Source organism: Homo sapiens, chromosome 16 (genome assembly GCF_000001405.40).
Source record: "Homo sapiens chromosome 16, GRCh38.p14 Primary Assembly".
NCBI lineage: Eukaryota > Metazoa > Chordata > Mammalia > Primates > Hominidae > Homo > Homo sapiens.
Genome location: NC_000016.10, coordinates 88,922,725 through 88,936,622, shown reverse-complemented (window position 1 = coordinate 88,936,622; position 13,898 = coordinate 88,922,725). Strand labels below are relative to the sequence as shown.

The window sequence follows — 13,898 nt, the reverse complement described above, 5'->3', positions numbered from 1 at the left end:
TGCCTCTGCGTTTCCCGCCCGCTTAGCCACCCAGGGCCGGTTCTGCCCCGTCGGGTCTGGGCAGCTCAGAGCCTCCTCGGCTGCCCCTGAGGCTGAGGTCGTGGTGGATACTCGGCTGCCCCTGAGGCTGGGGTCGTGGTGGATACTCGGCTGCCCCTGAGGCTGGGGTCGTGGTGGATACTCGGCTGCCCCTGAGGCTGGGGTCGTGGTGGATGCTTGGCTGCCCCTGAGGCTGGGGTCATGGTGGACGTGGCAGGAGGAGGTTTGGGGAGGAAGTCCAGGCACCGGGGCAGTCTTCTGTTTACTCAGCAGAGGAAAGTCCACACCGGGGAGGCAGCAGGTGGGACCTGCCGGAGACCAGGATGGGAGATACCTGGGAGACGCCCAGGAAATGCCCGGGGCAGTCAGGAGGGCTCCTGCGCACCCTGGTGGCCCCAGGTCACACATGGAACTCATGAGGAAGTCCCCGCCCAGTGTACCCGACCTCCCTGAGTACCCGGGAAAGCCAGGGTGCCATCAAGCCAGCAGGGGAAGCAGCTCCAGCTGCAGTGAGACCCTCTTACAGGTGGGGAGGGGCTCCCCACGAGGGCCAGGGGTGACTGCAGCCCCCTGCCCTGTTCCCGGAGGCAGCGGGGAGGGGGATGGGCAGCCCCTCGGTTTCTTGGAGCCCCCACCTGGATTCGACTCCCCTCCCAGCAGCTGCGTGACCTACACCACATATTCCCATCTGTCCCTCGGGTCTCAAACGCAAAATGCAGTCACAAAGGCATTTACCCCTTCGGGCTGTGATGAGCTGGGATGTGTGTGTCTGGACTGGGACCATCAGCCTCGTCCCTTTTCTGGGGGGACACCCGGTGGTGTCCTGAGGCTCAGTGGTGGATGCGGCATGATGCAGCTCTGCACCCAGGCCCCCTTCTCTGCAGGCCCCCGAACAGAAGTTCATTGTCTGCACCTTTGCAAAATGGGGTGGTCCAGAGAGACCACCTCGATGGTCAGACTCTGGCACAGCCCAGACCCCAGGCCCTGTGCCTGCTCCACCCACGCGAGGACAGCCTGCAAGCTTGGGGCCAAGCCCTGGGCCCCCGGGTGCACCACGCCACCTGCAGACCCATTTACAGAGGGGAAACTGAGGGTAAGATCAGTTGTACTCTAGTTACTCCCTGTCAGAGGCAGAATTCCCACTTGGGAGCCGAGGCCACCTGACTTGGGCCCTCCAGAGCCTAGGTATTTCTGCACCACCAGGGTCCCCACGCAGGTGGTGGGGGGCTCTCACCAGGCCTGGGGATTGCCGGGCCCCTCCCCTTGCCTTGGCCACCACACCAGGGCTCCACAGCCTAGTCCAGCCCAGCCTGTACTCAGAGCGCAGTGGACATGGGGCCCTTCCATGCAGCCTCTCCTGCGCCAGAGACATCAGAACCCAGGACTGCCCCTGACCGGGGGCAGCGTTGGGTCTCTGGGCCGTGGCTGTGCCCAAGTGGACAGAACAGGGGCCTTGGGTGCTGGACTCCACGTATCCCTGTGCCTGATGGAGGCTTGCAGCTCCACCACGTGGCCTTCAGCTCCCTTAAAGAATGCGTCCTTCTGGCCAGGCACGGTGGCTTACGCCTGTAATCCCAGCACTTTGGGAGGCCAAGGCGGGTGGATCACGAGGTCAGGAGATCGAGACCATCCTGGCTAACACGGTGAAACCCCGTCTCTACTAAAAAATACAAAAAATTAGCCGGGCGTGGTGGCGGGCGCCTGTAGTCCCAGCTACTGGGGAGGCTGAGGCAGGAGAATAGCGTGAACCCGGGAGGCAGAGCTTGCAGTGAGCCGAGATCGCGCCACTGCACTCCAGCCTGGGCGACAGAGCGAGACTCCGTCTCCGAGAAAAAAAGAATGCGTCCTTCTGAACTTCGGGGGTGGAAGAGGGCAGGGCACGGCCCTTCGTGCCTCTTTCGTGGCATCTCTGCCTCCTTTACCAGGCCCTGCCAACAGCAAGAATAGGCAGGCAGCGAGGCCAGACTCCTCTCCGCTCCTCTGGGCCTCCGTGTCCCCATCTGTCCCTTGCGGGGGTTGGTCAGCACCACACACTGTGCACAGGGAAGATGGAGCCTCGCCTGTCGCCCCCCGATGGTGCCGGCCGTGCCGGCCAGGTGTGTGGCTGAGACCCTCTCTGTGTGGCCCTGCTGGCTGCTGTGTCCCCACCGTGCCTCTGCGGCCGAGCTGCTCCTTCAGGGTCCAGCACTTTTCATGCCCAGAAGCCCAAAGCATCCAACAGGGGACCTGGGAGCAGAGTGTTCGGGAACGTGCATGGAGCCTCCCCTATGGGCCCAAGTCGGCCCCTCCTGTGACCTGAGCAGCCACTGTGGGGCAGCCCTTCTCGCCCGTGCCTCCATGTGCCGAGGGGCATGGGGCAGCCCTTCTCGCCGGTGCCTCCGTGTGCCGAGGGGCGTGGGGCAGCCCTTCTCGCCGGTGCCTCCGTGTGCCGAGGGGCGGCCTCTCCCAAGGGAGCTTCGGCATGCCAGGGAAGGGGCGTGGATCATTTCAGACTGTCTCGTGGCCACGTTGAAAAAGGGAAGAAGAGACCGGGCAAAATTAATGTTTATAATATATAATCTTACTTAACCCAGTGTGTCCAAAACTCATTATTTTCGACATGCACTGATTTTTAAGCGACTGAGGTATTTTTTTTTCAGCTCTCCCGGGGGCAGCGTGCAGCTTGGCTCACTGGGGTCTCGCCTCTGTCCTCCTCGTGCCGGTCTTGTGCTTGCGGCTGCTGTACTGCACAGAGCAGAGGGACGGGGATTTCACCAAGTCACATACGCGTGGCATGAAGTGGCCACTATGGCTGTGGGGACGCAGACGTGTGGCACTGTGAGGCGTGTGAGGCGTATAGAGGCACGTGACGTGTGCAGAGGCGTGCAGACGTGTGGCACTGTGAGGCGTGTGAGGCGTATAGAGGCACGTGACGTGTGCAGAGGCGTGCAGACGTGTGGCACTGTGAGGCGTGTGAGGCGTATAGAGGCACGTGACGTGTGCAGAGGCGTGCAGACGTGTGGCACTGTGAGGCGTGTGAGGCGTATAGAGGCACGTGACGTGTGCAGAGGCGTGCAGACGTGTGGCACTGTGAGGCGTGTGAGGCGTATAGAGGCACGTGACGTGTGCAGAGGCGTGCAGACGTGTGGCACTGTGAGGCGTGTGAGGCGTATAGAGGCACGTGACGTGTGCAGAGGCGTGCAGACGTGTGGCACTGTGAGGCGTGTGAGGCGTATAGAGGCACGTGACGTGTGCAGAGGCGTGCAGACGTGTGGCACTGTGAGGCGTGTGAGGCGTATAGAGGCACGTGACGTGTGCAGAGGCGTGCAGACGTGTGGCACTGTGAGGCGTGCAGTCTGGGACCCTGCACTGGGGGAGCGCAAAACAGCCCCCAGGAGTTGACCAGTGAGGCAAACGGGAGGTGCACCAGGCAGGGCCGGGGCCACAGGGCAAAGCCTGTCTGGAAAGGAGAGAAGGCTGGTGACTTGCACACTGAGGGCCTGGCCTGTCTCTGGGCGTGCGGACTTCCATCAGAAGTGACGTCTCCGGGTCCTGGCTCCATGCCGTCACCTCCCTCGAGCTCCCAGGACCTGGCCCAAGAGGCCATTTTTCTTTTCTTTCTTTCTTTTTTTCCCCCAGACACAATCTCACTCTGTCGCCCAGGCTGGAGTGCAGTGGCGCAATCTCAGCTCACAGCAACCTCTGCTTCCCGGGTTCAAGTGATTCTCCTGCGTCAGCCTCCTGAGTAGCTGGGATTACAGCCACACACCACTGCACCCGGCTTTTTTTTTTTTTTTTTTTTTTTTTTTTTTTGTATTTTTAGTAGAGACGGGTTTGCCATGTTGGCCAGGCTGGTCTCGAACTCCTGACCTCAGGTGATCCACCTGCCTCAGCCTCCCAAAGTGCTGGGATGACAGGCGTGAACCACCGCGCCCTGCCTCTTTTTTCCCTTTACTTATAGTCGGGGTCTCCCTCTATCGCTCAGGCTGGAATGCAGTGGTGCGATCATGGCTCACTGCTGCCTTAACCTCCTAGGCTCAAGCGATCCTCCCCCTTCAGCCTACAGAGTAGCTGGGACTATGGGTGTTCACCACTATGCCCAGCTAATTGTTTTTTTAATTTTTAATTTTTTTGGTAGAGATGGGGTCTTGCTACATCGCCCAGGCTGTCTCAAGCTCCTGGGCTCAAACGATCCTCCCACCTCAGCCTCCCAAAGTGCTGGGATTGTAGGCGTGAGCCGCTGCACCCAGCTTAAGAGGCTGTTTTATGGTCATTGAGTCCAGCGCCAGGGCGGCCTCTTTCCTGGAAGTGTGTGCTCTGCCTGTTTTCCGGGATGGGGAAGTGGGGGCCGTGTGAGGGGGAAGCGGGGGCCATGTGAGGGGGAAGCGGGGGCCGTGTGAGGGGGAAGCGGGGGCCGTGTGAGGGGGAAGCAGGGGCCGTGTGAGGGGCCACCTGGCAGGCTGTCTTCCCGACGACAGCAGCCCCAAGGTCACTGCGTCGGGTGCCGTTGCCAGGGGCGCACGTGCAGGTGCATGTGTGTAAAGTCTGAGTGTGTGATGGTGTGCACACGTGTGCATGCGTGTGGGGTACCACGGTGTGAAAACCGGGCCAGGAGGAAGCATGACCTATGACCTGGCTGTCCAGACTCACAGGGGATCCCCACAGCCAGCCTCAGAGAATGTTCCACAAATGATAAGTGCCCCGGCGAAGTGCTTACCCTCCCCAAACCCTCCTCCCCATCCCCTCTGCACTGTGACCCCTTGAGAGCTTTTATAAAGCGTGAGCCGTGACACCAGGGCTCACTGGGGACCACAGCACCTGCATCCAACCAAACCTGCCCAGACCCAGGGACCATGCTGCCCCAGGACTGGGGTGACCAGAGGGACAAGCAGAGGCCTGAGCTGCAGGCCAGTGCCCCCAGCACCTGCTCACTCTGCACCATGGGGCCAGCCCACGGCCCTTCTCCACCTCTGGCTCGTCCACGGGGCCGGCCCACGGCCCTTCTCCACCTCTGGCTCATCCACGGGGCCGGCCCACGGCCCTTCTCCACCTCTGGCTCGTCCACGGGGCCGGCCCACGGCCCTTCTCCACCTCTGGCTCGTCCTTGGCACATGAAGGGGCTTCTGCCGAGGAGACCTTCGGGTTGGAAAGGTCACTTGTCACTTGCCACAGACCGGTCCTTGTGAGCGCTTCCCACCCTTAAGGGTGTGCTTGTGTCTCTGGAAGGGGGTTGTTTGCAGCAAGAAGGTCGCTCAGCTCCCACTCACTCCAGCCAGCAGCCTTCTGGGCCTGGCCTCCACCCTCCTGGTTTCCAGCACAGCCAGGCTCACAGAGCCAGGGCTGGAGTCACAGCAGTGCCTCCGCTACCTGCCTGCAAGTTGGCCCCAGTTGACAGGAGCAGGGCCCCTGGGAGGGAGGCTGAGCCCCTCTCACATTTAAGGTGCCCAAACTCAGGGAAGAGGCAGCCTGGCTCCACTCATCACTCCTGGGCTGTTAGCAACGTGGATGGGTCCCTGGCAGGGGCAGGTTAATAGGTCATGAGCTGCCTGTCTCAGTCTCCCCGCTGTTTTTTTAATTGTGGGAAAATACACATAACGTTTATCATTTTAAGCATCGTGGAGTTATAGTGTCACTTCAGTAGCACTTAGTGCACTCACAATGCAACGCCACGCCCCCCGCCAGCTCGCTCCCACACGTGCTCATCACCCGGAAAGGAAACCCCACTCCCACTGCCACTCACTCCTCCACCCCCAGCCCACAGTCTGCCCCTCCCCATCTCCTCACTCCTCCACCCCAGCCCCCAGTCTGCCCCCTCCCCCATCTCCTCGCTCCTCCACCCCCAGCCCCCAGTCTGCCCCCTCCCCCATCTCCTCGCTCCTCCACCCCCAGCCCCCAGTCTGCCCCCTCCCCATCTCCTCGCTCCTCCACCCCCAGCCCTCAGTCTGCCCCCGCTCCTGCATCTCTGTGAACTTGCCTGTTCTGGACACCGCGGATGAAGGTGACGGGGCCACGTGTGGCCCTTGTGTCTGGCTTTGTCAGCTCGGGGCCTTCGTGGCTCCCCGCACTGGAGCCTAGTGGGGAGCCTCCTTCCCTGTGGCTGAGCTGCACTGCACTGTGCAGAAAGACCACGTTTTGTGTGTCCGTTGATGGACGCGTGGGTTGTTGCCCCCATTGTTGTTATGGTGGACCATGCAGCTGTGGGCATGGGTAGCTTTTGCGTGGACGATGCAGCTGTGGGCATGGGTAGCTTTTGCGTGGACGATGCAGCTGTGGGTATTGGTAGCTTTTGCGTGGACCATGCAGCTGTGGGTATTGGTAGCTTTTGCGTGGACCACGCAGCTGTGGGCATGGGTAGCTTTTGCGTGGACGATGCAGCTGTGGGTATTGGTGACTTTTGCGTGGATGATGCAGCTGTGGGTATTGGTAGCTTTTGCGTGGACCATGCAGCTGTGGGTATTGGTAGCTTTTACGTGGACCATGCAGCTCTGGGTATTGGTAGCTTTTACGTGGACCATGCAGCTGTGGGTATTGGTAGCTTTTGCGTGGACGATGCAGCTGTGGGTATTGGTGACTTTTGCGTGGATGATGCAGCTGTGGGTATTGGTAGCTTTTGCGTGGACCATGCGGCTCTGGGTATTGGTAGCTTTTACGTGGACCATGCAGCTGTGGGTATTGGTAGCTTTTGCGTGGACGATGCAGCTGTGGGTATTGGTGACTTTTGCGTGGATGATGCAGCTGTGGGCATGGGTAGCTTTTGCGTGGATGATGCAGCTGTGGGTATTGGTAGCTTTTGTGTGGACCATGCAGCTGTGGGTATTGGTAGCTTTTGCGTGGACCATGCAGCTGTGGGTATTGGTAGCTTTTGCGTGGACCACGCAGCTGTGGGTATTGGTAGTTTTTGCGTGGACCACGCAGCTGTGGGTATTGGTAGTTTTTGCGTGGACCACGCAGCTGTGGGTATTGGTAGTTTTTGCGTGGATGATGCAGATGTGGGTATTGGTGACTTTTGCGTGGGTGATGCAGATGTGGGTATTGGTAGCTTTTGCGTGGACCATGCAGCTGTGGGTATCGGTAGCTTTTGTGTGGATGAATGTCTTCATTTCTCTTGGTTGGATTCCTAGGAGTAGAATCCCTGGCTCACCTGGTAACTCTGGGTTTAATTGTCCACGGGGTTTCAAGGGATAAATTATCAAGAAAAGCCACTGTCCTGGTGGGCAGGGGGCTTGGCCTTGCTGTCACCGGGTCCTCCCGCAGGCCCGTGGGAGCAGCCCTCACCACGCCTCTCACAGGCGATGGTGTGCCGGCCCCGGTGATGGATGCCGTTTGCCTGAGGTCACGGGCTGGTTCAGGGGCGCCCTGGGTTGTTTGCACAGCGGCAGCCAGACTGCCTGCAAGCTGCTGTCCTGTTTGATTCCACAAACAGTTATGGGATCTCTCCAGCACCTGCTCTCTGACCGCGTGACTTGTGCCAGATTCTGTACCTGGTTTCTTTGCTTCTACCCCTGACCCCCATCCCAGGTCTATTTTGCACTCGGCAGCCAGATGGAACCCATTAAAGGCCAGTCACAGCTCTCCAGGAACGGAGCCGAGGTCCTCGTGGGGCCTCCAAGACCACACAAACTCCCCTCCCTTCCACCACCCACTCTGCTCCGCCTTGCTGCTGGCCCACCGTGCCTGGCTGCAGTTCAGGGCCTTTGCGCTGCTGGCCCCAGTGCCTGGAATGCTCCCCCCGACGCCTGCGTGGCTCCCAGCTGCCCTCCTTCAGGCCTTGCTCAGATGGCACCTTTTCAGTGGCCATCCAGTCACCCACCCGTGCCTCTCCCAACCACCACACCTCCCAGCCTCGGTCTCGTACGTTTGCACAGTGTTCCTGGGCTCCCGTCCGAGGTCAGCTCCGTGGGGCAGGACTTTTGCCTGTCTGCACCTGCACCTGACACACGAGGCGCTCAGTACACAGGCACCCTGTCTTGCCTGAGGGACGGTCCCCATACCCCACCTGGCGGGTGACAGCGCCCGGGGTCGCCGGCTGCTTCAGGGACGCCCTCACTGGGTGCTGGAAGAGGGTTGTTTGCACAGCGGCTGGGCTGCCTGCAAGCTGCCGTCGTATTTGATTCCACAAACAAATACATCCCCTGTGTCTGCTTTCCAGCCCTGGGGCTTGATCATGGGTCTCGCCTGTGTGGGGGCAGCTGGACGTGTGGCCACAGAGGCAGCTTGGAGTGACCTGGCGTTGTGACTCCCTCACAGACCGGGCCCGCTCCACCTGGTCATCGGCCCCCAAGGCCAGGGAGTAGGGGAGCGTCCCCGAAACCACAGGATCCCAGAAACGCCCCCAACAAGGACAGCTGTGCCACACGCCGGGCAAGAAGCTGCCCCGGGCCCCAGTGCTGCCGAACAAACCACCCCAAACTCAGAGGCGTGAGGCAACCCTGGTGGTGCTCAGAGACCCTCGGGCCAAGGAGTCGGAACAGAGCCCCGTGGGACAGTGATGGCCCCGTGGTGGCCAGGGTCTCGGCCAGGTGGCCTTCCCTGCTGGGGTTCAAAGGCTCGGCTTGGGGGTGCCAGGGGCTCGGTCAGCAGCGGTGGGTGCCGGGAGCCGCTGCCTGTGGACAGAGGCCTCCGTGAGGCCCTCCCTGCGGCTCCCACTTCAGAGGACGCCCCACACTGGGCAGGGTTGCCCGTGTCAGCATCTGCGGCTTTTCTGAGCTGACCGCAGCGTGTCACGAGGCGCCTTTCCATCGTGGCCCGTGCAGCCCAGCAGGAGGGGACCGGATCCCACCTCCTGAGGGAGCAGGTGGGAAGTCTGGCTGACCTGTCTTCGGGTCAGTGTTGGCTCCCGGGTGTCCGCACGGGCGGACGGCCAGCTGGGCCTCCGGGGCCTGGGGAGGAGGAGGCGGAAGGGGGATCATCCCAGGCAGTGCTGGCTTCCCCGGCTCCCTCTGTGACAGCTGAACCCCCCTACAGCTGCAGCCTAGCCCCAGAGCAGCCCGGAGATTATCACCTGCAGGCTGCATGCCAGGCTGGTACCTGGGTGGCGTGGCCCCCATGGCCAGGGTCGCTGTCTCCCTGGATGCCCAGCTCTGACCTCATGAAGGGTTGCAGGGAGGTCCCTGGAGGAGAACAGGTGGACCCACCTCTTCCCCAGCCCCTCCTCCACCCCGGCAGGATTCAGACACCCAGAAAACAGGCTGGGTCTGGGGTCAGGATCTGGCTCGAGGAGGATCTGGGGCCCCCAGTTTCCAGCTGCCTCTCCCCACAGATGGGGCCCAGCGGCCTCACCTCAGCGGGGGCATCAGTGCTGCCTGGGGAAGTCCATGCACCCGAGGGCAGGGCGGGACCCGGCTTGTCACGTCGACCTGGCCTTGACGCTGACATCTCTGAGCCACGCCTCCATCTGACCCAACTCGTTAGGCGGTGCCCGTTCATTCCCTCGACAAATAGTGATTGGTGCCTGCTGTACGCCCGGGGCTGCTGCTCCGTCTGGCAGAGACAGAGTGAAGGAAGGGAGCAGCGATGATGTTGCCCCACCAAGGGCCGTGGGGGTTGACACTGGCTTCTCTGGTAAAGGGACGTGGAACTTAGCTGCGGGAGGAGGGAAGGACCACGCGTGCCAGGCCCGAGGCAGGAGTGTGCCGCCACCTCCAGGACCAGTGAGGAGCCTTGTCTCAGAGAAAGGAGATGAGGGCAGGGAGGCAGCGGGGGCCGGACGGGGCTGCCCTGCTGCTGCAAGGACCTCGCTGTGAGGTGGGGCACAAGGGACAGGCACGGAAGGCCTTGTGAGCTCCTGGGAGCCCACGGTGCACCGAGGCACCAGCCCAATCCAGAGGAGGAATTCCCAGCAACCCCCACTGTGAACACCTCCGTCCCGTCTTACAGCCGAGGAAACTGAGGCTCAGCAGGCCCCACCCTGGCACGCACGGGACCATGGCCAGCTTGTCCCTTGGGAAGATCCTGCCCTCGGGCCTCCCTGCAGCCATGCAGTGGGGGCAGCGCTCACCCACGCTGTCCTGACACAAAGCTCGTTGGCTGACCCAGGGCCACCTGGTGTGACGCATGACAAACCTCTGTGTCACAGCCCTGAGACTCCGGCCTGGTGACTGGCCCCGAGCAGGAGAGATAGAAAGAGAGGTCGCTCAGCCTCGACCCCTGAAAACCACAGCACAGGGCTGAGCAGACACCGACATTTTGGAGACGAGGCTGGGACAGACGCCCCCCAGCCCATAGCACGCCAGGTCCCTCGGAGCGCTTGGGGGGCCTTCAGTGGTGGATTGAGGAGGTTTGTCCAGCTGGACATTGGAGGAGGAATTTGTCACACCTTTTAGGTGCTGGAACTCCCTGCACGGAACCCAGATTCACTCCTCGCCTCTGGGAACAAGGTTAGGCTCTTGGAGGCGGCAGCCCGGCCCCAGAAGCCAGTTGTACCCCCGGCTGCGGCTCTGCTCTGCCCTCCTGGGAATTCGCTCACTGGCCCCATCACAGTGGGATTAACCCCCTTTCACAGGTGGGGAACGTGAGACCGCCCAGCGCCCACCAAGTGCTCCCTGCACAATTCACGGGGGCCTCCCCCGTCTCACGGAGCTGACCTTCCAGGGGGCAGAAGAGATGGTGCCAGTTCGAGGCTGCAGCCTGTGGGAGACAGGACAGCCGTGTCTTTCTGGTCCTGGTCCTTCTCAGCCTCTCTTTTAAAAATCATCGTAAAAACGTTCACATGGCGTCTGGCGTAGAGAGGATGGCACCGACTCCGCAGTGCCACCCATGTCCTTGGTACCGGGGCTCCCTATGCCGCAGCCTGGAAAAGCCCGTCGCCGGGGAGCAGGAGCAGCTCTGAGCCCCCGGGAAAGCACATTGCCATCTCCACACACGCAGGGGCTCCCGGCGGGCAGTCGGGCAGACAGTGAAGGCTGAGGGACGGCCCCTGAAGAAACTAGAAGCCTCCGGTTACCCTGGTGCCCTGGAGGGAGAAGCAGCATTCAGAGTCATCCAGGTGGCCTCAGGCAGGCCTGGAGCCTCTCTGAGCCTGTGTCTGCCACTGCAAAGTGACTGCCTGTCCCGCCTGCCACCCTCAGAGTCGTCCTTCTGCTGGGATGAGAGCAGCGCAGGGCACTCGGAGCAGGTCTCTGGCTGCCTGGCACAGGAAGGGCCTCCCTCCCCTGCAGAATATTCCCTGGGGGCTGTTTTGACTCAGCAGCACCACCCCCTGGCCCCCTGCAGATCTCCTGGAGGCTGCATGAGAGCGCCTGGTGGATGAGTCAGGGTACCCGGAAGGCACCGCTCAGGAGGGAGCAGCAGAGCAGGCCCCTTGTGGGTCTCCCCCGAGCAGCTGCCACCACGGCTGCGGCTGCACCGTGCCCAAGCCCGGCCCATCTGCCTGCCTGGCACCTTCCCAAGGCCGGGGGCTGGGAGAGGACCAATCCGGGCAGGGCTGGAACCCGGCCCTCTGCCCACTGCGGACATGGCCTGCTGCCCCAGGGTCAGCGAGCTCGGTGTCCAGGACGAGGCCGTTGCTGTGTGATTCCGGGCGGGTCCCTCTCTCTCCACTGCTTCCCCCTTGGGCTGGTGCAGAGCTGAGACCCCTCGCAGACACAGCAAGCCCTGGGCTTGGCCACGGTGACCGGTGGCTTGTAATTTCTTCAGGGCCGTCCCTCAGTTTTCACTGTCTGCACCCACACGTGGTGGCGGGGAGTGTGGCTCTGTGGCCTTGGTGGAGAGAGCACTCAGTGAGGTGGGAGGCGGTGGCAGCGGCCTCCATCAGCCCGAAGCTGTGGGCAGGACTCGCCTTCACAGCCCCTGATTGGGTCTAAATTCAACAGGTGGTTTCCTGCACCTGCTTGGCCCCCAGTGCCTGGCTGTCCCCGCCGCGTCCGGCCAGCTGGGGCAATGGGTGAGACCATCTGCATCTGGGCAGCAGAGGCTGTCTGACGAGAGTGACCTCATGCTCCCGGCCATGGGGCTCTGCCTCTGGGAGCCACAAGGCTTGTCCTGTGCTGCCTTGCAGGGGCCACTCCCTGCTTCCAGCTGCTTCGAGGCCCCACGACACAGCACCGAGAGCTGCCCTGGTGGCCCCCGCAGCCACCACTGGGCCCTCCGCCCGCTCTTCTCCCCCTGGCCTGTGTCTGCCCATTGCTGGACCCGTCTCCAAGGCCATCCCAGCCATCGCCCCCGAGAGCCTCGTTCCCCACCTTCCTGGACCCCGGGTCCCTCTCCTTTTGTCTCAGCAGAGTCTAGCCTCCTTGTGGTCGGCGGCCCCAGGGAGGCAGGGCCAGGGCGGAGCTTGTGCAGGGCGACTGGAGCGGTCCTGAAGGCACGCAGTGTGCCCCACGTCAGCACAGCCGTTGCAGCTCCCAGGGAATAGCAAGGAAGGCGGGGCCCAGAGAGGGCAGATCTTCACTCAGGCTCACTGGGACTCAGCCCAGCAGGTGTAGCCCCTCCAGGGTAGACATGACCACCACCTGCCCCGCCCCACCGCAGGGGTCCTTGCTTTAGCCCAGCAGGCGCGGCCCTCCCACCCTGGCTCCTTGCTTTAGCCCTGGCTGGGTTGCTGTGACCTTGCCTGACCACGCCCCCACCTCCACCCGCGGTCTTTGCTGTAACCATGGCTGGGTCGCTGTGCACCCTTGCCGGGCTGTGCACCCTCAGCATGAGATCCCAGGGTCTTCGTGGTCCTTGCACTGTGGTGATCTATGCTCCAAAGTCCTGGCCAGTGAGCCTGGCCTCTCACCTTTGACTGGGCTCCTCCCCCGGCCCCACCTTTGAGAGAGGACGGTCCTCGGGGGTGGGTTCGGCATTCTGGTCTTTCCCAGAGCCTCCCCAACCTAGACGGTGCCGGTGTCCAGCCCAGGAGCCCAGAGCCCGAGTTCCAAAGCCGACCTCCATGTCGGAGCCTTCCCACCCTGACAGCAGGAGCGACATGTGTGAGCCGGGTTGCGGAGGATGCGCAGCTTGGCCTCCCTCCCCGAGCTGTGCTGCGCGCCAGGACTGGGCTGTGCAGAGCCTGCAGCCCCTTCACAACCCAGCTGCTCCCCAGCTGCCCCCTCACGGCTCAGTTGCTCCCCAGCTCACACAGCAGGAAGTGCATTTGTTGCTGAAATTGTCTCAAAGGCCCCAAACAAACAGCCCTTCTGGTGGCAGTGGATGTGGCGGGTAACATGGGTGGCCAAAGGTCTGAGAGGCCCCCACTCAGCTTGAGGTCTCTGTGCAAGTCCCTGGCAGCTCAGGAAACCTCAAGGCAACTAGCAGCTCAGCCTGGTGGCCTGCCTGGAAAAGGAGGCAGGCAGGGGGCAGTGGGCAGAAGCGCCGAATCCTCACCTCCTCTGTGCGATGAGGAGGGGGTGCGGGTCCCCCCCGTTTCACAGGGAGAACGCTGAGGCCCAGCAAGGCCAGGGGACTCGCCCACACCAGTGGACGCTGACTTCAAACCCCAAAGCTGTGCTCCCAGCTCGCCAACCTGCTGTGCCATCTCAGCACATCACAAACTCCCCCGCGTCTCTCCCTCCACATTTGGCGAATTGGGGAGACGTGGGGTATTTGGAGGGACCTGGTGGGAGCAGGCAGCTGGGGTGCGCTAGGTGAGGGCGCTGGGGGCCTGTAAAGAGCCGTGTAGAGCTGGTCGGGTCCCAGCTCTGTCCGTCCGCTGTGCACCTTGAGCAGTTCCTTCCTCTCTGGGCCTTTGCTGCCCCATCTGTACGGTGGGAAGAGTGAGAGGTTTATGTTTTCATCGTGATTATATAACAGAACAGCCTCCTGGGTGGGGGTGCTGCCGAGGTTAAATGAGTTAGTATTTTGTTGGCCATGTGAAACCACGCAGGGGCAAAGCCTGTGCCACGGGAACAGTGGTGTCACCGTCTCCGAGGTCGGGATGGGATTCCAGGAAGGGGCCGTCC

The 13,898-nt window shown here is 62.1% G+C and overlaps 1 protein-coding gene and 1 long non-coding RNA gene across 7 annotated transcripts in view, besides 5 other annotated features; one reads left to right on the top strand and one right to left on the bottom strand.

Moving 5' to 3' along the window:
- Nucleotides 1-13,898, top strand: part of CBFA2T3 (CBFA2/RUNX1 partner transcriptional co-repressor 3) — a 102,350-nt gene that overhangs the window by 40,585 nt on the left and 47,867 nt on the right. The window lies entirely within an intron of this gene.
- Nucleotides 159-358: an enhancer, noted in NCBI's record as "active region_11376". NCBI's record gives its function as "activates an Ori minimal core promoter by ATAC-STARR-seq in GM12878 lymphoblastoid cells {active_cell/tissue: GM12878}" and the evidence as "EXISTENCE:reporter gene assay evidence [ECO:0000049][PMID:35858748]".
- On the bottom strand, nucleotides 5,960-11,333 carry LOC105371409 (cadmium/zinc-transporting ATPase HMA2). Its single transcript, XR_005647007.2, has 2 exons — nucleotides 10,602-11,333; nucleotides 5,960-9,498 (listed from the first exon to the last, which is right to left on the bottom strand). It is a non-coding gene; the product is annotated as a cadmium/zinc-transporting ATPase HMA2 (long non-coding RNA).
- Nucleotides 9,098-10,004: an enhancer, noted in NCBI's record as "H3K27ac-H3K4me1 hESC enhancer chr16:88993027-88993933 (GRCh37/hg19 assembly coordinates)". NCBI's record gives its function as "activates a minimal SCP1, AML or CMV promoter by ChIP-STARR-seq in primed H9 embryonic stem cells {active_cell/tissue: H9 hESC(primed)}" and the evidence as "EXISTENCE:reporter gene assay evidence [ECO:0000049][PMID:30033119]".
- Nucleotides 10,914-11,821: an enhancer, noted in NCBI's record as "H3K27ac-H3K4me1 hESC enhancer chr16:88991210-88992117 (GRCh37/hg19 assembly coordinates)". NCBI's record gives its function as "activates a minimal SCP1, AML or CMV promoter by ChIP-STARR-seq in naive H9 embryonic stem cells {active_cell/tissue: H9 hESC(naive)}" and the evidence as "EXISTENCE:reporter gene assay evidence [ECO:0000049][PMID:30033119]".
- Nucleotides 11,822-12,730: an enhancer, noted in NCBI's record as "H3K27ac-H3K4me1 hESC enhancer chr16:88990301-88991209 (GRCh37/hg19 assembly coordinates)". NCBI's record gives its function as "activates a minimal SCP1, AML or CMV promoter by ChIP-STARR-seq in naive H9 embryonic stem cells {active_cell/tissue: H9 hESC(naive)}" and the evidence as "EXISTENCE:reporter gene assay evidence [ECO:0000049][PMID:30033119]".
- Nucleotides 12,731-13,638: an enhancer, noted in NCBI's record as "H3K27ac-H3K4me1 hESC enhancer chr16:88989393-88990300 (GRCh37/hg19 assembly coordinates)". NCBI's record gives its function as "activates a minimal SCP1, AML or CMV promoter by ChIP-STARR-seq in primed H9 embryonic stem cells {active_cell/tissue: H9 hESC(primed)}" and the evidence as "EXISTENCE:reporter gene assay evidence [ECO:0000049][PMID:30033119]".